This window comes from Homo sapiens, chromosome 15 (genome assembly GCF_000001405.40).
Source record: "Homo sapiens chromosome 15, GRCh38.p14 Primary Assembly".
In the NCBI taxonomy this organism is placed as follows: Eukaryota; Metazoa; Chordata; class Mammalia; order Primates; family Hominidae; genus Homo; species Homo sapiens.
The window spans coordinates 73,978,552-74,001,501 of NC_000015.10; the positions used below are offsets into that span (position 1 = coordinate 73,978,552).

The 22,950-nt window shown below is 50.2% G+C and overlaps 2 protein-coding genes across 21 annotated transcripts in view, besides 10 other annotated features; one reads left to right on the forward strand and one right to left on the reverse strand.

Annotated features, from left to right (window-relative positions):
* Nucleotides 1-374: 374 nt before the first annotated feature.
* Nucleotides 375-16,071, reverse strand: STOML1 (stomatin like 1). Of its 12 annotated transcripts, none has more exons than NM_001324230.2 (8): nt 13,540-13,744; nt 12,264-12,394; nt 11,800-11,906; nt 10,557-10,706; nt 10,048-10,251; nt 6,767-6,962; nt 6,108-6,320; nt 375-5,579 (listed from the first exon to the last, which is right to left on the reverse strand). In NM_001324230.2, exons 2-8 carry the CDS (start codon nt 12,268-12,270, stop codon nt 5,386-5,388), a joined length of 1,071 nt encoding a protein of 356 aa, NP_001311159.1. In that variant the 5' UTR covers nt 12,271-12,394; nt 13,540-13,744; the 3' UTR covers nt 375-5,385. The 12 variants fall into 12 exon arrangements, with proteins under 12 accessions (NP_001311159.1, NP_001311157.1, NP_001243601.1 ...); NM_001256677.1 differs by having other exon boundaries at nt 4,667-5,579; nt 6,108-6,317; nt 13,540-13,797; NM_001324228.2 differs by lacking the exon at nt 12,264-12,394 and having other exon boundaries at nt 13,662-13,744.
* Nucleotides 3,281-3,470: an enhancer, noted in NCBI's record as "active region_9732". NCBI's record gives its function as "activates an Ori minimal core promoter by ATAC-STARR-seq in GM12878 lymphoblastoid cells {active_cell/tissue: GM12878}" and the evidence as "EXISTENCE:reporter gene assay evidence [ECO:0000049][PMID:35858748]".
* Nucleotides 9,412-10,611: an enhancer, noted in NCBI's record as "CDK7 strongly-dependent group 2 enhancer chr15:74280304-74281503 (GRCh37/hg19 assembly coordinates)". NCBI's record gives its function as "activates an origin of replication core promoter dependent on BRD2, BRD4, P300/CBP, MED14 and CDK7 cofactors, with strong dependence on CDK7, by STARR-seq in HCT116 cells {active_cell/tissue: HCT116}" and the evidence as "EXISTENCE:reporter gene assay evidence [ECO:0000049][PMID:35650434]".
* Nucleotides 9,465-9,654: an enhancer, noted in NCBI's record as "active region_9733". NCBI's record gives its function as "activates an Ori minimal core promoter by ATAC-STARR-seq in GM12878 lymphoblastoid cells {active_cell/tissue: GM12878}" and the evidence as "EXISTENCE:reporter gene assay evidence [ECO:0000049][PMID:35858748]".
* Nucleotides 9,665-9,724: an enhancer, noted in NCBI's record as "active region_9734". NCBI's record gives its function as "activates an Ori minimal core promoter by ATAC-STARR-seq in GM12878 lymphoblastoid cells {active_cell/tissue: GM12878}" and the evidence as "EXISTENCE:reporter gene assay evidence [ECO:0000049][PMID:35858748]".
* Nucleotides 9,895-9,954: an enhancer, noted in NCBI's record as "active region_9735". NCBI's record gives its function as "activates an Ori minimal core promoter by ATAC-STARR-seq in GM12878 lymphoblastoid cells {active_cell/tissue: GM12878}" and the evidence as "EXISTENCE:reporter gene assay evidence [ECO:0000049][PMID:35858748]".
* Nucleotides 13,021-13,150: an enhancer, noted in NCBI's record as "active region_9736". NCBI's record gives its function as "activates an Ori minimal core promoter by ATAC-STARR-seq in GM12878 lymphoblastoid cells {active_cell/tissue: GM12878}" and the evidence as "EXISTENCE:reporter gene assay evidence [ECO:0000049][PMID:35858748]".
* Nucleotides 13,211-13,280: an enhancer, noted in NCBI's record as "active region_9737". NCBI's record gives its function as "activates an Ori minimal core promoter by ATAC-STARR-seq in GM12878 lymphoblastoid cells {active_cell/tissue: GM12878}" and the evidence as "EXISTENCE:reporter gene assay evidence [ECO:0000049][PMID:35858748]".
* Nucleotides 13,411-13,970: a silencer, noted in NCBI's record as "silent region_6644". NCBI's record gives its function as "represses an Ori minimal core promoter by ATAC-STARR-seq in GM12878 lymphoblastoid cells {active_cell/tissue: GM12878}" and the evidence as "EXISTENCE:reporter gene assay evidence [ECO:0000049][PMID:35858748]".
* PML (PML nuclear body scaffold) overlaps nt 16,165-22,950 on the forward strand; it is a 53,112-nt gene continuing 46,326 nt past the window's right edge. For all 9 annotated transcript variants that reach the window (NM_033238.3, NM_002675.4, NM_033249.3 and 6 more), the window contains exons 1-2: nt 16,165-16,390; nt 19,453-19,925. In NM_033238.3, the coding sequence (NP_150241.2) occupies nt 16,262-16,390; nt 19,453-19,925 (602 nt within the window). In that variant the 5' untranslated portion in view covers nt 16,165-16,261. The remainder of the gene's footprint in view (nt 16,391-19,452; nt 19,926-22,950) is intronic.
* Nucleotides 16,578-16,747: an enhancer, noted in NCBI's record as "active region_9738". NCBI's record gives its function as "activates an Ori minimal core promoter by ATAC-STARR-seq in GM12878 lymphoblastoid cells {active_cell/tissue: GM12878}" and the evidence as "EXISTENCE:reporter gene assay evidence [ECO:0000049][PMID:35858748]".
* Nucleotides 19,037-19,539: an enhancer, noted in NCBI's record as "H3K27ac-H3K4me1 hESC enhancer chr15:74289929-74290431 (GRCh37/hg19 assembly coordinates)". NCBI's record gives its function as "activates a minimal SCP1, AML or CMV promoter by ChIP-STARR-seq in naive H9 embryonic stem cells {active_cell/tissue: H9 hESC(naive)}" and the evidence as "EXISTENCE:reporter gene assay evidence [ECO:0000049][PMID:30033119]".

The window sequence follows — 22,950 nt, forward strand, 5'->3', positions numbered from 1 at the left end:
GCTGTGTTGTCCAGGCTGGCCTCGAACTTCTGGGCTCAACTGATCCTCCCTTAGCCTCCCAAGTACCTGGGAATATAGGCATGTGTCACTGCATCCAGCTATACTAAGAACTTTTAAAGCTCAACAATATTAATAGCCCATTTCTTAAATAAGCAAAATATTGAACAGATAGTTCACAAAAGAAGACACGTGCCCAATAAGCAAATTAAAAGTGGCTCAACATTGTCAGTCACACCTGTTAGAGTGGCTAAAGTTTAAAAGACTGACTATACCGCATGTTGACAGGACCACTTTGGAAATGTTTGACAGTTTTTCAATCCAGCAATTCTAGGTATTTACCCAGATGAAAATATATGTCCAAACAAAGACTTGTACACAGATGTCTGGAGGAGCTTTATTTAATAACCAAACCTGAAAACTACTCAAATGTTCATCAATGGATGAATGAATACATTGTGCCTCTATCTAGACAATGGAATGTGTTGGCAATACAACAAACTACAGATACACAGAATAACATGTATTACTCTCAAAACCATTACAGTGAGGGGGAAAAAGCTAGACACAGAAGAGTACTGTGCACTCATTTCATTCATATGAAATGCTAGAAAAGTGAAATGTGATCAGCGGTTATGGAAAGGTCAGTGGCTGCTCAAAGCTGGAGGTGGCAAGCACTGACGGGAAGTGACGTGGAGAACTTTGTGAGTGGATGGGAATGTTTTGTATTTGATTGTAGGGGGTGGTGGTTACTCAGGTGTTCACATTTGTCAAAGCACCTCAGATGACACTTTTTATTTTATCTTTATTTATTTAATTTTGAGATGGAGTCTCACTCTGTTGCCCAGGCTAAAGTGCAGTGGCATGATCTCAACTCACTGCAACTTCCACCTCCTGGGTTCAAGCAATTCTCCTGTCTCAGCCTCCCGAGTAGCTGGGACTACAGCCGTGTACCACCATGCCTGGCTAAATTTTGTATTTTTAGTAGAGATGGGGTTTCACCATATCGGTCAGGCTGGTCTCAAACTCCTGACCTCAGGTGATCCACCTGCCTCGGCCTCCCAAAGTGCTGGGATTAGAGGCGCAAGCCAGCCAAATAATACATTTTAAAAGGGTGTTTGTTGTATGTAAATTACACCTTTAAAAAATATGTAAATGCTAGGGGAAGAGAAACCAAACCAAACCAAACCCTGTTCTTTGCTGGAGCTAGAAATCCAAGACTTACAAAGCAATAAACAATTGGACAATAAACAGGCTGGGCTAGATGGCTCATGCCTGTAATCCTAGCAGTTAGCGGGCCAGGGCCAGGTGGGAGGATCACTTGAGGCCAGGAGTTAGAGACCAGCTTGAGAAGGCCCTGTCTCTACAAAAAAAAAAAAAAAAAAAAAGCCAGGCATGGTGATCCTTTAAGCCTGGGAGGTTGAGGCTGCAGTGAGCCACAATCACTGCACTGCACTCCAGCCTGGGAGACAGAGTGAGACCCTGTCTCAAAACAAACAAACAAAAAACAAAAAAATAACTTGAACAATAAACAAAAAAATTACACTGAGATACAAATTTTCACTTTCCAGAATGTCAAAAGACCCAAAAGTTTAATAACACAGTGTATTGACATGACTATGAGAAAAAAACACCACTGACAATGGGAGTGTAAATTGGTATAATCCCCAGAGAAGGTATTCTGGCAATATTTACTAAATTATAAATGCTTTGATTTAGCAATTCCACTTCTAGGATTTTATCTTATAGATAAACTCTACCACAAATAGCACATGTTAAAGGTTATTCATTGCAAAAGTATTTAAAATAGCAAAACACAAGAAATAATCAAAATGTCTATCGGTCCACGACAGGTTGAATAATTTATGATACATCCATACTGTGGAATCCTATGTAAGTACAAGAAAGCACAGGGAAAGGCTGTCTGTGGTAACATGGAAAGATCCTCAGTGGGTAATGTTAAGTGAAAAAGGCAACATTGTGTTTCTATGTTGCCATTTGTATAAAAACAGGAACAACAAAAACCCAGAAGATACATATTTGGATTTTCTTGCATATATTTTTTTTTAAAAAACAAAACCTTCAGGAAGAATTACCAAGAAACTAATCGCAGGGGATGGGGGAAGGCATGGGAAATATGTGTGGAGGGAGAATTTTCATAATATGCTTTCCTATCTTTTTAAATGTTTAGCCAACCAAAATTTAAATATTGGCTGGGTACAGTGGCTCACACCTGTAATCCCAGCACTTTGGGAGGCTGTGGTGGGAGGATCCTGCGAGCCCAGGAGTTCAAGACCAGCCTGAGCAACATGGGGAGACATCCTTATCTCTACAAAAGAGATTTTAAAAATTAGCCGGTTGTGGTGGCACAACCTGTGGTCCCAGCTACTCAGGAAGCTGAGGCAAGAGGATCGTTTGAGCCCCAGAGTTCAAGGCTACAGTGAGCTATGATCATGCCACTGCACTCCAGCCTGGGTGATAGAGCAAGACGGTCTAAAAAATTTTTTTTAAATGCTTAAAAATAAGGCCAGGTGCGGTGGCTCACACCTATAATCCCAGCACTTTGGGAGGCCTAGGCAGGCAGATCACTTGAGGTCAGGAGTTCGAGACCAGCCTGGTCAACATGGTGAAATCCCATCTCTACTAAAAATACAAAAATTAACCAGGTGTGGTGGTATGCGCCTATAATCCTGGCTACTCAGGTGTCTGAGGCAGGAGAATCACTTGAATCCGGGAGGTAGAGGTTGCAGTGAGCTGAGATTGTACTGTACTCTAACATGGGCAACAGAGTAAGACTCTTGTTTCAAAAAAAAATAAAATACTTTTCAATAACATCAAAATAACACATTATATATTAATATATTAACTAGGATACTTAAACTATTATCATTATTCACCAGGTTATCTTGAAGAAAAATATAATAAGAAGTGTCTAGTCCGGTATAAGGACATATTTGGCACACAGTAATGGTTACTATTTCTATACCCTGCCCCTCAAATGCCCGCACACAACCTGTCTGGTACTTCAGGTTCTAGTTCCCCGAAGCCCAGTTGCCTGACTGCCTCTTCCAGCTGTGCCCTTGCAGGGACTTCTCCTCTGCTGAATGATTTTCCCCATCTCTTCTTATTGTCCACCTACTTGGTAGCTGGGATGTGGAGGACATCACCTCCTCAGGAAAGCCTTCTCTGATTGACACACACCCTCCTCCTCCCTCTTCACACCGACCCTTTAGGTGGCCCTTGTCCTTCCTCCCCTGTGGACTGCAGGGTCTGCTCAGTCCTCTGTAGTCCTGGAGTGCTGGCCAAGGATCGAGCTCCCCTCCACAGGGTGGGGATTCATGGCAGGGGCAGGCCTTACTCTCCACCTACACAGACATCCAGAAAAGTTTCGGTTTCCCCTAAACGTTATGTTGATCTTCCCATGCTCACAAAGAAGAGTTTGGGTTTCCCCTAAGTTGTGATCTCATTTTTCCTGTCTTCCCTACCCTCCAGCCCTACCCCAGCCAAGGGGCCGTGCCAGCTTTCATGGTGAAGATGCCTGGGGTTTCCTGGGCAGCCCTTCATATACTGTGTAATAGCAATGGAAGGAATCCACAGGTGAATGCTGATGCAGGAAGCTCCCAGTCCAGCAGGGAGGGCAGCCATATATGCAAGGAGCAGAAACACACAATGTGGAATGGGTGCAGAGAGCCAGGCAAGGGCACAGAGGACAAGTCTCACTGGGCCTCAAAGGGTGGCCACAGTGTGGCTGCGGGGATTGGAGGGCAGGCTTTGGAACAGACAGCCTCAGCTAGAAAGCCCTGGGAGGGCCCATGAGAGGCCTCCAAGTAGGCAAAGGGGCAACAGCAGGTGCAGCAGCCTGGGACTCTAGGAAGGGGCCCTGGAAACCTGAACCTCAATGGCCATGGCAGTGACAGAGGGGTCTGTGCTGGGCTTTAGGGAGGTGCCTCAGGCAATGTGGAGGACCTCCAGGAGGCGGGACAAGGCAGTGTCTGGCAAAGGCAGGGACAGACAGCAAACAAGACAGAGCCAGGCACCCAGGAAGGGCAGAGACCCCTTGGGGGAGAGGGAAGTTGCGGTGCCACAGGACAGGCTGGGGGCTGTTCTTAAGGGGAGGCTTTGATTTTTGTGGTTTTGTTTTTCCCAGAAGTCTCTCCAAGGAGTAAGATTCCTTTCTTAGGACTCAAGAAGTCAGAGGCCCCCTTCTCTGGGGCCCCTGGGGTTTGGGCGAGAGTACTGGAGCAGAAAGCAGGGCTGGGCTGGGCCTGGGGCCAGACCTCAATGACTGTTTCCTTCCCGTCAGCGAGCGGAGAAGCAGTGACAGAGTGTACCAGGAGGGGAAGCTGACGGTGGCCCCAACTCCTCTCTTGAATGGGATATGACCACCCCACCTGCCCCTCAGTGTTTGCAGGACACTCTGGCACACTCATGCCTTCCTTTCCTGGTGAACCTGTATCCCACTACAAAGAGGAACAGAACTCCCCACCCAGCCCCACCCTTGCTTCCAGGGGCTTTGAGACACTCAGGAGAAGGAGCTTCAAATATTGTGAGGGTCTGTCTGTGTCAGCCACCAGGATGTCAATCCCTGCCTGGGCTGGCAGCATGGACCTTGTGGACCCTCCTAGCCCACCCCATGCCCCCAGGAGCCCCGCTTGGCTTCTTCTCTTTTATACATTGTAAACACCACATTTATTTGTCTGAGGCTTGCAAACCTCTGGTAAGAAGCACAGAACGCAGGGCTCTCCTTCATGCTGCCCTGGGCCCCAGCTCGCCAGGCATGCAGGACAGAGCTGGCAGATGAGTCAGAAATCTTTGGGAGCAGCGCCAGGGAAGCAGCAGGCCCTGCTCCTTCCCATGCCCAATCCCGCCAGCACGGGCCTGGACTGCAGCCAGGAAGGTGGGCCAGCCAGGATCCCCAGGTAACTTCGCCACAGGGACCTCTTCTTGGAGCTGCCTTCCCTTCCCTCCCCATCCCTCTCCAATCCCCGCAGAGCTTAGAGCCTGGGCCACATGCTTGGTCCCTCACACAAGGACCAAACCAGCTGCTGTCAGGCTGTTTCTGTGGGTCCTGTCTCTCCAGTCAGGAAGCCAGCAGGGCAGGGCAGGCCTGGCTCTCCTCCTGGAATCACACCGTGCACCCAGCTCAGCGCTGGGCACTCAGCTGGGGACCGGGATGGACAAAGCCTTGTCCAGAGAACCACTGTAGGGGAGACGTGCATGGCAGCCGGACTCAGCCTCCTGCAGCCTCCATTCATGGGCTCTTGGCTGGGCCTGAAATTTGTTAGGGCCTCAACTCTCTGTGGTGCAGATGAACACCTCCTCCTCCAAGAGGCCCCTCAGGCTTGGTGCCAGGCTTGGGACTGGGCTCTGGAAAGTCAGCCAAGGCTGCTACTTCAAGGCCCTGAGGACAGCCTCCAGCTTCATGGCCATAGCCAGGTCGCCCTTCACCTTCAGCCGTCCACTCATGTAGGCCCCCAGGGGCCGCAGCTCTCTGCATAGCAGGGCCCGCAGGTCTGCCTCGGCCATCTCCACCACCACATCAGGGATGCCATCAGGCACCCCGTGTCCCACTCTTCCTCGTCCTGTGGGGCAAAAGAAAACCGAGTGTCAGTAGGGGAATGGAGGAACGTGAAGGAGATCTATGGGGGTGGGAGGGGCTGGTATTTCCCATTGGGAGGAGAGTACTGGTTAAGAGTTTGGGTTCTAATACCCTGGGTTTGAGTCTTATTGGCTGTGTGAACTCTTGGATCCTCAGTTTCCAAATCTGTGATGATAATTCCTTTAGAGATGACAATTCCTAAAGCATAGGCTCATGGTGAGAAGTGGGTGAGATAATGTACAAAAAGTACTTGGCACAGAGCCTGACAGGCAGCAGGCCTGTAACACGGGCAGGCCTCTTGGTATTGGAAGCCTGGCTGCATTGTCCTGCGGATGGCGGGGAGACCAGGGCATAGTTAATGCCTGGAAATGGTGTCTGAGCCCCTGCCTGCCATGGGTTCACCCCAAATTATTGGCAGGAGCAGGGGGCAGTCTACGAGAGCACCACTGGGGTAGGTAACAAGAAACCTAGCAAGCTGGATGGGAAGGAGAGGCAAGGAGGGCAGCGGCACCTGTAGTGAGGTCCAGGAAGTAGGCGCTTTGGGTGCCGCTGGGCAGGACGACATTGAACTGGTAGCAGGCCCCGACTTGGCTGACCAGGGCCTCAGACAGGAAGGGCTGTAGAGCAGTCAGTAGCCCCTCCGCCAGAGGCTGCTTCGGACTGGACCTGGCACCAACTTGAGGGGCAGGTGGCTCAACTTCACTCACCATCTCCACGGTGTCTGCTGGGGGTGGCCAACAGGGTTGGGGAAGGAGGCAGAGAGGAGGTCATCGTGTTGCCAAGGTCAGGACCACTCACTGTGGCCTCTGCACCTTTTGTGGCAGTTTCCTCTTAGATCCCCTTCAGGCCTCTGTTCAACTTCCTCCTCTACCAGAAAGGTGCCCCTGAGTTTTCAGCCTAAACTGCAAACTCAGTTTCTAAACTACTCCAGCCTCAGATATAAAATTCTTTCCAGCTGCCCTTCTGGTGATGTCGCCTCCTCCCATGGAGGCTGCCAATGGCCTCTACACACTCAGACACCTGGCCTCCTCTCACTGCCTTGGCTGTGGTCAGTGTGGGCTGAACATCTGTGCAGGGTGTGTACTGCACAGAGCTGCTGGGATAGTGAGCAAAGTCTGTGCTGGCACCAAGCTGGTAAACACCCCCGCTCTCCTCCCCAGGGCTCCTCACCTGGCCCCGGGGACGGGGCACCTCCTGCCATTGAGTTCATGCTTCCTCCCAGGAAGTGCAGGGCCAGCTGCTGGAGGGTGCTGTCCAGGTTGGGCCCAGCTGGGCTGTCCTGGGGCGGCTGGAGCACGGCCTCCACTGCCAGCTCCACGCGGTCTACCTCCAGCCCCCAGGCCCTGGTCACATCGTTGATCTCCAGCTGGAGGACAGTGTGAGGAGAAATGTAATTAATTCAACAAACCTTTCCTGAGCACCTTCTTTGGGCAGACTGTGTGGCCGTGCATGGACATGGAGGCACCACACCGCCCTTGAGACACTCCTAGCCTGGGAACACAGGCAGAGGGCAATGACCTTTCAGCTGTGGTAAGTGCCAAGACAGAAGCAAGGCCTGTGGTGAGCCCCCAGCAGAGGAGGGTGGTGCCAGCAGGAGGGAGTCCTCAGGTGGAGGAGGACCCTTCCAGCAACAGGAACAGCATGTGCAAAACCCCAGACAAGAAAACCTGGCATGTTCGTGGAGCTGCGAGGAACCAGAGTTCCATTTAGCTGGACCCTCACATGTCGGCTGAGGACTGGAGACAGCTGAGGGGTCAGAGGTGGGGTGTTTCTGCTTACTTTGATTTATTCTGAGGCAACAAAGAGCCCCAGGGAGGAGTTTGAGCAGGGAGGTGATACAGCAGACTTGCTTTAAGGCAAGATCCTCCTGGCTGCTGTGGATGCTGGATTATAGGGGGCTGAGGGGAGGGATGGAGACCAAGGAAGACATTGTTTCAAAATACAGCCAAGGAATGATGCAGCTCTGGCGAGGGTGGAGGGGAGCTGTGAAGCCAAGATCCACTGAGGGAGGCATGCCTCTATCAACTGTACTGAGCCACAACAGGGCACTAGAGAAGTGCAAGCACCAGGCTCGGGGCTGCCTCGATGTGTGCAATGATATGAGAGGGGGCGGGAGTGGGGAGGAGTCAGGCTCCTGAATGGATGAGTGTGGCATTCACTAGAGAGGACACACGGGGGTGGGAAGGGAGGGATGGCAACTTTTTTTTTTTTTTTTACTACTGTAAGCTTGAGGTGTCTGTGGGGCAGTCAATTGTCCAGTAGGCAGCTGGAGAAATGGCCCAGGGTACAGAAGCATCAGGGCTAGGGCAGGACATTGTGAATAATCAGCATCCACAGGCAGCAGACAGCCCAGATGGATGAGCTCTCCCAGGGAGGTCACAGATGAGAAGAGGCCAGTGATGAAACCCTGGAAACTCAAGGGCAGGAGAATAAGTGGCAGTAACCAGGGATGACAGGGAAGGAGGAAGTACAGGGGGTTCTGGGGGCTGGGGGCTGGGTCGACCATGTCAAATGCTGCCACCAGGTGATGTAAGGGAAGGGCTGAGAGGTGCCCACTGGGCTGGCATGTGGGAGGTCACTGTGATGTTGGCCAGCGCTGTCTTGGGAGCCCAAGGAGGCCAGGATGAAGGATGTAGGGGCAGGGGCTGGGAGCATGGATGAAAGTCTTGCAGAAGAAAAGGGGAGAAAGGGAGTGGGAGCTAGAGGGCACTGTGGCAAAGGGAGGGCACATTTCTACACAGAAAGGAGAGGTGACAGAGAGAGAGTGCATGGAGTGGAGGGAAGGCATCCTGGGATAGCAGGGGGCCCACAGCACTGCGCAGTACAGGGATGAGCCTCAGAGAGGGGAGGCAGAAGGGCAAGGAGGCAGGAAAGCAGCACAGAGGCAGGTGGGTTTGAAGGGGTGAAACTGGAGGAAGCAGAGTGCTCATCCTAGAGTTTTTCTCCTGAGTGTTAGGAGGCAAGGCCTGCTGCAGAGAGCAATGAGCAGTGGTGGGGCTGGAGGAGGGCAGTGAAGGGCTGAGGCAGCTGGCCTGGAGCACTGGCAGGTAAGGAGTGGTAACTGGCTAAGGAAGGTCCAGCAAGTGAGAGGTGGGGACTCTGATTTCTCTAGAAGAAAATCAGGCAAAAAGGGGCATGTGAATAAGTGTACGCCTGAACCAGGGCCTGAGGGCGGTGTGCTGGACCTCCTGAGGTTCTGTCTCAACCACAGGCACAGCTCTCACTCTACCAGGTGCTCACTCAGTCTGGGAAATGGGACTTAAAGGACTCTCACATCCTGGTGTGGAACTGACCTCCCCAAACTGCCTGTCTCACATCAAAACAATGTGCAACAAGACTGAGATCAGTTTTCTCTTCCTAAAGGTGAATTAACACGGGGCATGGTTTTATGAATAAAAGTTGTTATCCACTTGCTATCTGAGTTGTGTTAGATCAAGCACTGGATTGAGGGGCGATGGTGGGATGGAGGCAGGTGGTCTAGCTATGGCTCAGCTCTGCCCTTGACCATAGCTCTCAGAGGCAAGTCAAATTATTTCTTAGCCTTAGCTTCCTCCCTCCAAAATAAAACAGTAGTACCGACTTGCAGCAAAAAATGTCAAGCTCAGAAATGCTGGGCCAGACAAAAGGACTTTGTAAACCATAAACTGCTAAGCACGTAAGAGCTACTGTTAGGATCTCAAATAGTATTTCCTCAGGAATTTCCCCTCGCTGCTTCCAGTGGGACCTCCAGGACTGGCATTTATCCCATTCCCCCGACTGTCCTCTAACCTTGATTCCCCAGGGCAAAGCAGAGCCAAGAGGAATGGGGAGAAATGTCACCTACATTCCCCTGTCAGGACACAAGAGGAAGCACAAGTTGAGTGTGGCTGCAGGGGACACAACTCTGCATGTGTATTTATTTCTACCCCATCTTGTAGCAGAAGAGATTTAGGGCAAACTCCAATATACACATGGAGAAGAGGCAGGAAAAAGATCCAAATGTCCTCATGTTCCTTTGTTCTGTTCCAAACAAGGAAACAAAAATCACAAGCATGCACACGCTGCATGGTGAGCCTGGAATTCCCCAGCAGGTGACTGGGCTGGGAGGGTCCCTGCTCCATCACCCATCTGCCTGCCCCATGAGTCAGGCCCGGAATGAGAGCTGTAGAAGCCAGTGTCATCATGGCAGAGCAGTGAGGGGTAAAAACTAAGGGGCAGACCCCAAGAATGTCTGCCGGGGCCACTTCCTCTTCTCAGGGACAAGTTTGCCCAGGATCGTTATGGTCTACGCCCACCTGCCATTCCTCAACTCATGGCCCCACCCAGGCACTGGCTCTTCAAAGGTGGTTACACTATTGGGACATATGGTAAACTGAGGCCCAGAGTGGTCTGACTCTTTTCTCAAAGTGACCTGGCAGGTGGAGCCAGGCCGGTGCCACCCCTCAAGCTCCGTCTTGTGAGGGGCTGCCTACCAGAAGCTGGTCGCTGATCTTGAGCTTCTCCATCTGGATCTCCCGCAGCGGCCTCTTGAGCAGGGCCTTGGTCATGGCGTTCTGGGCTGTCATGCGTGTGGCTGTGTTCAGGTCTTTCACAGTCATCACCGACAGCACCGGGTCCCAGATGCGAAACTGGACATCGGCTCCCACGGACAGCACAGCCCCGTCCTTAGAGGCCAGCTGTTGGGGGAGGCCATGAGAGAGAGACACTCAAGGGGCTGGGGGTGCAGGGAGGTCAGGCCCACTGGGGCCACCCAGCTTGAACCACCTGCTTGGCAGCTAGCTCCTCAAGGGCAAATGGTGTCACCAAGTATGTAGGGTTAGGTGTATGAAGCAAGGATGTCCTCCTAGCTTCCATCAATTTTCTGGTCTCTTCTTCCCCCTTCCCCCCTCAGATGGTGACTCACAGGCTGAGGTCCTGGCACCACAGTACATTCTGGACAGGCCCCCAGTTCCTCTGTCAAGGCAGCTGAGAAGCCCCTCACCTTGCAGGGAGGGACGTTGAAGGCTCGTGTCCTCAGATCCACCCTCTGAAAGGAGTCAATGAAGGGCAAGAGCAGAACCATGCCAGGTCCCTGGGGGGTGCGGATCCGGCCCAGGCGGAACACAATCATCCGCTCGTAGGTGGGCACAATCTGTCCACAATGGCAAGGGAAAGAGTTGAAAGTGGTCAGCCTAGGCTGGCCAATGCTGTCTGCCTAGGTCCCTTCCTCACTTCTCTCCTCCTCACCTGGGTCACAGTTAGGTATCCCTAGCACTGTTTCCAGATGAGAAAACCAAGGCTCAGGGAAGCTAAGTGACTGCTCAAAAATTGCATAGCCCTAAGTGAAATAGTGAAGATTTGAATGCAGTTCTGAATAACTCCAAAGGCCATGTGTCTTAACTACTGCACTGTATTGACTTGATCCTTAGAGAAACTTTTCATCTCTGTGGTCTGAAGTTAGACATGACTCATACCAGGAAACTGTCTGTCCTTGGATTAGTTAGGAGAAAAGGCTCGGCTGCCCTAACAGCACCCCCGGGGAAAGGGCTTTGTCAACTTTAGGTCCCTGGACCTCCTAGAGAAGTAGTGATGTCCAAATTGAGAAATGAAGGCCCAGAGAGGCAAAGAAACCTGTTCAAGGTCACATGGCATTTGTTTCTGTGGCAGTTTTAGAACTAGGATATAAGGCCATTTAAGGACCCCCTTGCAGACCACACCAAACCCAGAGGTTTTCTAGAGAGGGACTGTTGCCTAGGGCTACACAAAGGGCAAGGCCTCCTTGGGCTTCCACCTTCCCCCAGCTTTCACGTGCGATGCTGAACTATAGCTCCATGGTTCATCCTTTTCCCACTGTACCACCCCTTATGGAAAATGAGGCCTGAATTCCTATTATGCACTACCAGCTGGGCTAAGTTGGGTGTTTTCATTTCTAATTTATTCTAACCCAAAGAGAAGATAATTTGGCAAAGACATCTGCGTGTACCTTAAAGCCAGTGTCCAGATCCCAGGACTTAGGAGTTTGGGACTTGCTTCTACCCCCTACTGGCTCCCAGTATGACTTTAGACAAGCCCAAGCCTTAGTTTCCTCCCCTGACCAATGTGAATGAATGGTTCTTGCCTAGCCCATTACACAAAGGGGTAATAATATTTAGGGAAAGGGGACAGAGGATAGGCAAATTTATTCATCAATGCCAAAGCTCTCAGTGTGGCCCAACCACCCTGGGGGCTGACCCAGCCAGCCTTACCTTCAGGGCAAACCAGCCAGAAATGGGGAAGGTGACCAACAGCAGCAAGAACCCCAGGAAACTGATGAGGCCATGACAGAGGCAGGAGGGCCAGCTCTGGGGTACATCTGCAGGTGAGAGCAGAGGTGGTCAACTGGACCTGCACGACAGCTGCCAAGCGGAGTGAACTTGGGCAAGTGTACCTTACGCCCACCTTCCCCTCGAGAGGCTCCTTCCTTCTCAGGGCTCTCAATCTGGCTCCTTGCCTAATATTCCCGTATCTTTGGGCAGCTGCAAGTTAGGGTCTGTTCCCTCCTCCCATACATCAACACTCATTTGTCCCAAGTCCAACAACCCTCACAAGGCCTTATTCTCTGCTAGGCAACAGCCATTCAATCTCAGAATCCAGTCCGCGTGATGATGCTCTCCTCACTGGACTGAGTAGGGGTCAATCCTCTCGTTTAATTTATATTGCCTACCCATACCTGGCATGGAGCCAGGAGCACCTGGGCATCTGTAAACATGCACTGAATACTGCTGGCAAAACACATTCCTCCTATACCATCAGCCCCAGAAGTGTGCTTTCCAGGAGTCCTTATGAAGATGATGCCTTAGCCTACAGGGATAAATCATAAATAGCTTATCAACGGGAGCCACAGATGAGGAATTAGATTATTATTTTCTATTCCACACCCAACTTTAATGCCTTAATGACCATTAAAAAATGCCTATTTCACGAGATGGCGCCACTGCACTCCAGCCTGGGGGACAGAGCGAGACTCCATCTCAAAAAAACAACAAACAACAAAAAACAAAAACAAAAAAAAACCCTGCCTATTTCAATTCAAGAAAATTGTTAGGGGTCGGGGTCAGGGGCAGGGCTAGAAAGATGAGGCTTATCCAAGCCAAATGTCCTGGCCCCTGGAGATTCAGGAGCCCAAGTTGGGAGCAAAGCCGAGACAGCTCCAGAATCTGGGATGAGGTTATTTGCCGCTTTCCTCCCAACCCTGGACAGGAAGCAGTCGGGAGCCCTGCTCCATTCTTCCAGGAAGCCCTGCCCTCTGGGCTAAGCCCCAGAGCACTGAGGCTCCACTTTGTGCCTGGCTCTGATCCACCAGGCCTCTCAAGAGACTTCTGGATAGGGAGAGCTTTCAGGACAGGAAGGCCAGGGAGGGATCAAATCCAAGGTTAGGCGGTTAGGCTGAACAGCGTGGGATCTGGCCTGTAGGCCAAAGGAGCCACAGAAGACTTTGAGGGCAAGACAGAAGCAGGGCAGATCCAACAGGCAGCTGAGGACCTGTCATTTTGGCCTGCACATCCAGGAGATGCCTAGTTCCCGGGCTTCTAGAGGTGCCCCCTAGGGCGAAAATTCTTCCATTTCCCTGCAGCAGGTGCCTTTAGGGTGCTGGTGGCCTCCTCTGCCTAGACCTCGGTTTCTTCTATGCGAAATAGAAACCTGAAACGTCTTCCCAGGCCTAAAGGGCTGATAAGAGCCGAGGACAAATGTGGTGAGGTGAGGTTTTGGAAGATAGGAGCAACGCTGGCTGGCTCTGGGGCCAAAGCCCCATGACCCTAGGGAGGGCGGATCGGCGCTAGCACCAGGCGCCGGGTCCAGCCCCCTCTCCACATCGTATCCCTTTCTCAGTCCCCCCTCGTAGGGTGCGACGGCACCGGGCCGGCCGACTCCTCGGAGGCAGAGATTCGGGCCTGGGGGTTGCCGGCCGGTCCCCCCCGGCTCCGCCGTGCCAGGCGGCCACTCACCGGCCCCTGTCCCCACGCCGCCCCGCTCCGGGGACAAGCAGCCCTTCTGCGAGCCCAGAAAGCCGAAGCTCGACTGCTGGAAGCGGTCAAAATCACCCAGGGGCAGCGCCCGGTACCCAGACCTGCCGAGCATGGCTTTTGACAGGAGACACGCCCCGCGCCTCCGCGCGGCGCCCTCCCTGGCCAGTGGGCCCTACGCGGCCCCGCCCTCCTGGCTGCTGCTTCCGGCTTCACCCGCGCGGCCACCCGCGGCGGCGCGGGCGCAGGAAGAGGAGGCCGGCCGGGGCCCGCTTCCGCCGTCGCATGGCTCCCCCTGCGCTGGGAGGACCGAACTGCAGCCCAGGGCTACTGGGTGTGATCGGCGTTCCTCGGACCCCGCTGGGGTCATCGCCTCCTCCCCTCTTCTCCTACTCAGCCCTAGAAAAGCTGGAGGGGAAGCTGGGCACGGTGGCTCACTCCTATAATCCATCAATTTGGGAGACTCAGGCAGGAGGATCGCTTGAGGCCAGGAATTCAGGACCATCCTGAGCAACATAGTGAGAGCCCATCTCTACAAAAAATTTTTAAAAATTAGCCTGGCGTGGGATGCCTGCCTGTGGTCCCAGCCACTTGGGAGGCTGAGGCGGGAGGATCTCTTGAGTCCAGGAGTTTGAGGCTGCAGTGAGCTATGATCGTGCCACTGCACTGCAGTCGGAGCGAGAGAGCAAGATCTCATCAGGGTTTACAGGAAGCCAATCTTCTCCAGGATCAAGGACATGCTATATCAGCCTTCTCAGCACTCCTTCTCTCACACTGGAGGCAGGACATGCCATATCTGGACTTTGGGTTTCTCTGGGACATAGTCTGCAAATTATTCCTCTTTGTGAACCCACAGCCCAGCAAGCAGGGACTGGCATAGGGCAGGTCTCAATACTTATTTGTTAAGTAATGGCCTGGCCAGGTCACCGTGATCAAGGTGGAGTAGGAAGGCCTGAACTTTGGCACAAAAAGAAAGAAGTTTCACATGCAGACTTCGGGGAGCATGGGAGTGTAAGGAAGAAGGGGATAGCACAGAGCTACATGAGGGCAGGGGCCCCAGAGCACCACAGAGGTGAGGCCCTCAGTCCTGCAGGTCCAGAAAGAGCATGCCCCTTGATCCAGGTACCTGGAATTAACTTGCCTCTCCAGGGCTTGAGAAAACCTGAATGCAACTCGTGAATTTCCTTTGAGAAGTGTTAACTTCCAACAGGACTTTGGGGTAGTCTGGGAGCAGGCTATCTTCCAAAGCAAGCAAAGAAATGAATAAAGCTTCCCCAGCTCTGCCTCCTCAGCCAATCGCCTCTGGCCTCCGAAGCCCCATCCTGCCATAGCCCACTTCCAGGTCCCTTGTGCAGATGGCTGCCCACCATATTTGGCTTTCATGGACTGATTCTCTAAAGGCCTGGGAGTACTGACCAGGCTGGAGGGAAGGGCAGGCTCCTGAGGCCTTACAGTCCCTAGGAAGTTGCGTATCTGCCCAACCCCTGCTCTCCACCCTGCAGACTGTAAGGTTTACAAGAGCCAGGCCCTATCATCATCCTTTCTAGTCTGTTTCTAAGTTGGAACAGAGTACGGAATGGGTACACAGGAGCCAGCACAGTGGTTGCGATGGTTTAAGTTTGAAGCCGGGGCGCTGACCCAGTGAGGTCACCTGGAACTGTGCCCCTTTCCCCTTACCAGCTGGGAGTCTGACATGCTTTTCCATTGGCGAAGACCTAGCTGGCTCTCCCCTCACCCTCTTCATACCCGCTCTCCAGCTCTCCCCCTCCCTCCTGCCCCCACCACCTCAGATCCACCAGCCTTTCCAGCTGTCACTCAAGGCATCATCCTGCTCCCTCACCTCCAGTCACTGGCTTCCCAGGATCTCTGAATCAAGTCCCTCCTCTGCATCCCACAGCCACTGTCCTAGACCAGGGCACCTGCTCCTAGGTTGTCAGAGTGACTGTCCCATCATGCACAGCTGATCGTGTTGTTCCCTGGTTCCAAATCCTTCAGCAACTTCCCATCACTCACAGAACTGGTTCAATCTCCTCAGCTAGGATCTTGTCCTAGCACACTCCTTGGGTATCATTTCTCATGAATTCCCTCTTAAATCTGAAAATGGCCAAAATTAGTTCCCAAACAGGCTTTTGCAAGAGCTATCTTTTCTGTTTCAAGTGTCCCCCGTACCCCACCACCTACAACCCTAAATCCCTGGTGAATTTCCACTGCTTTTGCAGGTCCCAGCTGTGGGCTCTCCTTTCCAGAATGTCTCCGTTTGCAGGCTTGCTCTTCCATTACATCTACGGCTCTTAGAAAGCAGGGGCTGCGTGTGGCTCATCTTTGTACGCCCAGCTCCCGGCAGGACGTGGCACGAAGCAGTGCCAGTGTGAACGGATGAATGGATCAAAGCCGGGAGCAGGGCTGCCCCCCTGCAGCTCTGCCCTACCTCTCCCGCTTTACCGTAAGTCAGCGGTAGGTCTGCAGCTCTCCGCCTCTACCTCCTCCCCGCTCTGGGCGTGTCTTTAAAACCCACAGTCGGCCTCTCTGCCCCCTAGAACCGCCCCCAGCTTCTGTCTCACTTCCTCTCCAGAGGCGGGCCCTGAGCCGGCACCTCCCCTTTCGGACAGCTCAAGGGACTCAGCCAACTGGCTCACGCCTCCCCTTCAGCTTCTCTTCACGCACTCCAAGATCTAAACCGAGAATCGAAACTAAGCTGGGGTCCATGGAGCCTGCACCCGCCCGATCTCCGAGGCCCCAGCAGGACCCCGCCCGGCCCCAGGAGCCCACCATGCCTCCCCCCGAGACCCCCTCTGAAGGCCGCCAGCCCAGCCCCAGCCCCAGCCCTACAGAGGTACTATTGGGTTAGGGGATGATGGGGTTAAGCTTTGTTGGTTTGCTGTGGTGGGGAGAGGCGGGAAGAGAGGGTCTAACGGAGGATTTGGTCAAGTACCCTAGAGAGTGACACAAAGCGGGAAGTCCAGACACCAGGGTCCTGACCGTCTCGGGTGGGGCAGGGAAGGGAGGGTAGGATAGAGTAGAAAAGAGGACACGGAGGAGTTGGGGCGGCCTCGCTGGGCTGCGGTTTCTCCACTGAGCAGTTGGGCAAGGTGAGAAGGGTCAGTGGCCTCCGGGCCTGGGCCCTTCCGCCCACCCTCGAGCCCTGCCTCAACTTTGCCTCAGATGCAGGACTTCAGATTAGGGAGGATGGAGGTAGTACCCCTGTTGCGCTGGCCTGGAGCCAGGGGCATGTCCCAGGCACGGCAAAACTAAAACCAACTTCCCAGATCCGAGGTGAGAAACTGGCTCAGACTGAAGAGGTATCTTTGCCAAGGCCTCCCAGCTCATGTGGTTTCTGCTTAAGGAAGCCTCCCCAACGAACCCTTCTCTTGCCACACCTTTCCTGCCCACCTCCCACCTCCCCCGACAAAGGAACTACTTGGGTTTCTTGCTCTGCTGCCTTTCAGGCCCTTTTACTCCCCTTCATGAAAGTACAGAGGACACCGTATTACAGTAACTTTTATAAACATTATTACAACTAAGAATAACATTACTTAACAATACTAGGTAACATTTATGAGCACTTCAAATGTGCCAGGTACTGTATTAAGCACTTTGGTTTTTTTTTGTTGTTGTTTGTTTGTTTTGCTTTGTTTTTTGTTTGTTTGTTTATCTGTTTGTTTTTGAGACGGAGTCTCACACTGTCGCCCAGGCTGGAGTGCAATGGTGCGATCTCGGCTCACTGCAACCTCCTCCTTCCGGGTTCACGCCATTCTCCTGCCTCAGCCTCCCGAGTAGCTGGGATTACAGGCCACGCCACCATACCTGGCTATTTTTTATATTTTTAGTAGAGATGGGGTTTCACTATGTTGGCCAGATTGGTCTCTAACTCCTGACCTCGTGATCCACCCACCTCGGCCTCCCAAAGTGCTGGGATTACAGGCATGAGCCACCATGCCCGGCCTGTTTTTGTATTTTACAAAATGTGGTAAAATATACCTAATGGATAAGTTCCTATGTTAACCATTTATAAGTGTACCATTCAGTGGCATTAAGTAGATTCACAATATTGTGTAACCATCACCACCATCTATTTCCAGAACTTTTTCATTACTCCAGAAACTCTGTACTCTTTAAACCATAGGGGAGGGAAAGATGGCTTGCCTCCACCCTTCTAGTTTCCTTGGCTGGGCTATGAATTAAATAGCCTATGAATTAAATAGTCATAAAATAGATTACCAGCGGAAAACCCATATTTAATTACATATGTATACTCAGGAGTCCCACAATATATGAGACTCAAAGAAAGGTCAGATGATTGAAGCCTGTATAACATCCTGAGCTACGGAAAAGAGCTTGGAGCTTCTGGGTGATGGTGATAACACAAGTTATGGGAGGGTGAGGAGAGGAGCTGTTTGGTGAATAGAGGTTGTCTTGCTATGTAGATTAAAAGTTCTTAGATAATAAAAGTTGTCTGGAGCAGCCCTCTTTTAATATAGATCATTTTACTAATGTAGATTTTCTTTTAAGATATAAATGCCTTTCTTTTTTACAAAAGGAGAGCTTTTCAGAGCTATTCCTGTATCAGCAGTTTCTCAGAATAACCAGCTTAAAATATGCCAAAGAAGTATATTTCAAGAGCCTCCTGCAGTCATACTTTGAAGTGGTGTGTCCTGAGCCCCAGTAATGCAATAGCTCCTCATTTTCTCCTTCCCCTAGCCCTTGGTAACTTCTAATCTACCTTCTGTCCCTATGAACTTACTTATTCTAGATATTTCATGTAAGTGGAATTGTTACCAGTAGAGGATCTTGACTGCAAATTGTTCAGGTTCTTGGCATTTTGAACAAAGAATTGGACAAAATGTACAGCAAAGCAAGGAAAGAGTGAAGCAATGAAAGCAGAGATTTATTGAAAATGAAAGTACACCCCACAGGGTGGGAGCGGCTAGAGCAGGGCTCAAGGACCCCAGTTACAGAATCTTCTGGGTTCCAAATACCCCCTAGAGGTTTCCCATTGGCCACTTGGTGTTCACCCCATTGGTTGCAGAAAGCAACCAACCAGACGTACTTTCAATTTTCCATCTGCCCTGCAGGAAATGGGGTGATTTGCAAAGAGAGTAGCCTCTCTTCCTTTTGTTACTGAGGCATGGAGAGTTGCGGTTTTCCTTTCGATTTAGTTCTAGGAAGTCAGAGGGAATCGGCCTTAGGTTCCCTGCCTCCAGACCCTATTCTCCTGCCTCAGAATCATACAGTGTTTGACCTTTTGTGACTGGCTTATTTCACTTAGCATAATGTCATTGAGGTCTATCTATGTTGTAGCATGTATCAGAATTTCATTTCTTTCTAACGCTGAGTAATATTCCATTATATGTGTAGACCACATTTTGTTTATCTATTCATCTGTTGATGGATACTTGGATTGTTTCTACATTTTGTCTATTGTGAATAGTGTTGCTGTGGACATTGTTGTACAAGTATCTGTTTGGGCCTTGTTTTTACATCTTTTGGTTATATATCTAAGAGTGGAATTTCTGGGTCATATTGTTGTTCCATGCTTACCTCTTTAATGAACCCCCAAACTGTGCATTAAGCACTTTATATGAGGTTGGTACTTAGTGTATCTACCTTCCAAACTGAGTTCCTTGAAGGCAGAATGTATCCTACACCTCTTATATCTCAGAGCCTATTACTGTGGGTGATGAGAAGTAGATGCTCAATAAATGGTGCAGTGAGAGCTGGAGGGCCTGAATAAATGGGGGTATTGGGGTGCTGATAAGCCAGGGTTTTGCATCATCCAATGACTGGCTGGAATGGAATATGAGGTCCTACTCCAGGGTCCAGCTGTAAGGGTGGTTGGCCGGTAGGTGGGGGCTTTTGGGACTTCTCCAGGCCTCACCTGCCTCTCTGGTCCCCCAGCGAGCCCCCGCTTCGGAGGAGGAGTTCCAGTTTCTGCGCTGCCAGCAATGCCAGGCGGAAGCCAAGTGCCCGAAGCTGCTGCCTTGTCTGCACACGCTGTGCTCAGGATGCCTGGAGGCGTCGGGCATGCAGTGCCCCATCTGCCAGGCGCCCTGGCCCCTAGGTGCAGACACACCCGCCCTGGATAACGTCTTTTTCGAGAGTCTGCAGCGGCGCCTGTCGGTGTACCGGCAGATTGTGGATGCGCAGGCTGTGTGCACCCGCTGCAAAGAGTCGGCCGACTTCTGGTGCTTTGAGTGCGAGCAGCTCCTCTGCGCCAAGTGCTTCGAGGCACACCAGTGGTTCCTCAAGCACGAGGCCCGGCCCCTAGCAGAGCTGCGCAACCAGTCGGTGCGTGAGTTCCTGGACGGCACCCGCAAGACCAACAACATCTTCTGCTCCAACCCCAACCACCGCACCCCTACGCTGACCAGGTGAGTAGGCCGGCACAGGGTGGGGTGGTGCATCCAAGTACCAGGTAGAGGGCGAGAGGAGCAAAGATCCAAAGAGTCACACAGCTGAGGACAAGGAGCTTCTGGGGCCTTGCAACTCTAAATGTGGTCTGCAGATATGCAGTGTCCGTGTTGATGACCACAATTTATGCTGCCAGTCCCCACGCAGGTGGATAGTAAGTTTCCAGTTTCCTCCTGTAATAAATAATGCTGCAGAATCATCTTTGCATCTTTATCCAGTAACTTCTTTAGGATAAATTTTTAGAAGTGCCACTGCTGGGTGTAGGGGGACGGGAATTCTACATTTGATACATGTTACCAAACTGCCCTTTAGAATTTAGTGGAATTTTCCGAGAGCACTGACACGGAATCTCAGTAAGGCTGGATTCTAGGATCAGAGACAAGTAGTTAGTTTCTGTCTGAAAAGTTGAAACCATTAACACCAGGCAGCGCTATCTGAGAATGTCTGTATGGGGAAAAAAAATCACATCCAGTTGTAATTATTTTTATTAAACAGATTTTAACTCAGTTTTTTAATAGGTAATACATTCGTACAGTTCACGAACAAAATTTGTAAAGAGGAGAGAGAGAGTGCAATCTTCTGTCCATGCCCAACTGCCTAATTCCCACCACTTCTCCCTCTTCCCATCCACAGGTAGCCATTGTTACTAGTTTTGAATGTTTCTTCTGAGAGTTTCTTTACGAATATATATGCAGGTAGGAGCAATCTTATCAGGTCCTATTTTCCCTCTTTTAGCCAAAAAGGTAGCATAACTATGTGAACTTTTCACCATTAGCAATAGATTGTTCATAGAAGGCGCTTCTTGGTTCTTAGAGATCCACTTGCAAAATGAAAGCATTTTTCGCTGGTTTTTGACAACTCAGAACTATATATGGCTAAACCACATATTTGCTGAACTACATATCTGCTAAACTGACTGTGATTTGTTTCCTGCTTTAGGATAAACTTCCCACACTATCAGAATAAGCTTTCCCCTCCGACTCCTCAACAGCTGGTATCACCACGTTTCTTAGCTTATTGTAAAGGTTGAGTGGCTTTCCACTTGTTTATTGGCCATTGTGTTTCTGCATTTGCGAGTGGCCTGTTTAGGTCCTTTGCCTGTTGTTGTTGTTGTTTCCGTTGAGGAATTAAGGGACTAATTAAAGAATTCAGGAACAAATTCCTCGAAAGAAAAAAATGTATGCATTTCTTTTGCTCTTACAATTTATGCAGTTTTAAAACTTACATATTTATTGGATTTTGATTGAAATTGCAATAAATTAGGAGAAATTGGCTTTATCTCTGGTTCTATCTTTTGGATTTAAAAAATTTTTTTTAATTTTTTTTTTTTTTTTTTGAGATGGAGTCTCGCTGTGTCACCCAGGCTGGAGTGCAGTGGCGCGATCTCGGCTCACTGCAACCTCCACCTCCCGGGTTCACGCCATTTTCCTGCCTCAGCCTCCCAAGTAGCTGCGATTACAGGTGCACATCATCATGCCTGGCTAATTTTTTGGCATTTTTAGTAGAGACAGGGTTTCACTATAATGGTCAGGCTGGTCTCCTGACCTCAGGTGATCCACCTGCCTCGGCCTCCCAAAGTTCTGGGATTACAGGCATGAGCCACCATGCCCAGCCTTATACTAATTTCTTAATGAATTTGTAAGCTTTCATGTTTTGAACGTGATAATGCAGCCATCCCACGGGATCCATGGGAGTCTGTTTCAAATTCATAGATGCTCAAGTCTCTGATATAAAATGGCATAGTATTTGTATATAACCTCTACACATCCTCCTGTATACTTTATTTTTTATTTTATTTTTATTTTTTGAGACGGGGTCTTGCTCTGTCGCCCAGGCTGGAGTGCAGTGCTGCACTCGTGGCTCACTGCAGCCTCAATCTCTTGGGTTCAAACAATCCTCCCACCTCAGCCACCAGATTATACAGGACTGCAGGTGTGCACCACCACACTCAGCTAATTTTTAAATTTTTTGTAGAGACAGGGTTTCACGACATTGCCCAGACTGGTCTTGAGAACTCTTGGGCTCAGGCAGCAACCCTCCCTAGGCCTCTCAAAGTGCTGGGATTACAGGTGTGAGCCACTGTACCCATCCCCTCCTGTATACTTTAAGTCATCTCTAGATTACTTATAATGCCTAATACAATGTAAATGCTATGTAAAGAGTTGTTTTACTATATTTTTGAATTTGTATATTTTTTTATTGTGGTACTTTTTTAATTGATTTTTTTTCGCCTGAATATTTTTGATCCAAGATTTGTTGAATCCACGGGTGCGTAACCTGCAGATACTGAGGGCCAACTGTACATATAAATTGTTTAGCGTAGTGCCTGGCACATATTAAATACTCAGTGAATGTTAAAATTCTATTATAATTTCTCTGCTCTAGAACAATTTGAAGAATATAAGAAATTTAGGCTTATAAAAGTTTTTTGAAAAACCATCTTGGAACTGGTGCCTTTTTTATAGTAGATTTTTGGGAACTTTTCCCATTTTTGCCATGGCATTAATCTGTTTTGGCTCTTGTGTCAGATTTTTGGAAGATTTTCCAGTTCATCCTGAGTTATCTTTCATTATTTAAAAATCTCCTATATGCCTGTAACTATACCCCCTTTTTTTATTTCTGATGTTGTATATTTGTGGTTTAGCAGTCTTTTCAAAGTACTGTACTTTTAGTCTTTCCTTAGATTGCTTACTGATTTTAATGTTTTCCTTCTTTCTGTTTGATCATTTTATTTTTGTCATTTTCTTCCTTCTAACTTTTGTCATTATTCATTTTCTAGCTTCTTGAACTTATAATTCATTTATTTGCAATCTTTATTGTTTAATAATAATAACTTTTTTTTTTTTGAGAATCTCCCTCTGTCACCCAGGCTGGAGTGCAGTGGTAGATCTTGGCTCACTGCAACCTGTGCCTCCTGGGTTCAAGTGATTCTCCTGCCTCAGCCTCCCCAGTAGCTGAGACTACAGGTGCCCACCACCATGCCTG

Excerpts from the sequence above, each read along its gene's own strand:
- STOML1 (NM_004809.5), bottom strand. The coding sequence starts at position 13,672 with ATGCTCGGCAGGTCTGGGTACCGGGCGCTGCCCCTGGGTGATTTTGAC. Across the intron at positions 10,707-11,799 it reads CTGGCTGGTTTGCCCTGAAG|ATTGTGCCCACCTACGAGCG; the intron begins GTAAGGCTGGCT and ends CATTGTGGACAG. Across the intron at positions 5,580-6,107 it reads CTTCCTGGACCTCACTACAG|GACGAGGAAGAGTGGGACAC; the intron begins GTGCCGCTGCCC and ends TTTGCCCCACAG.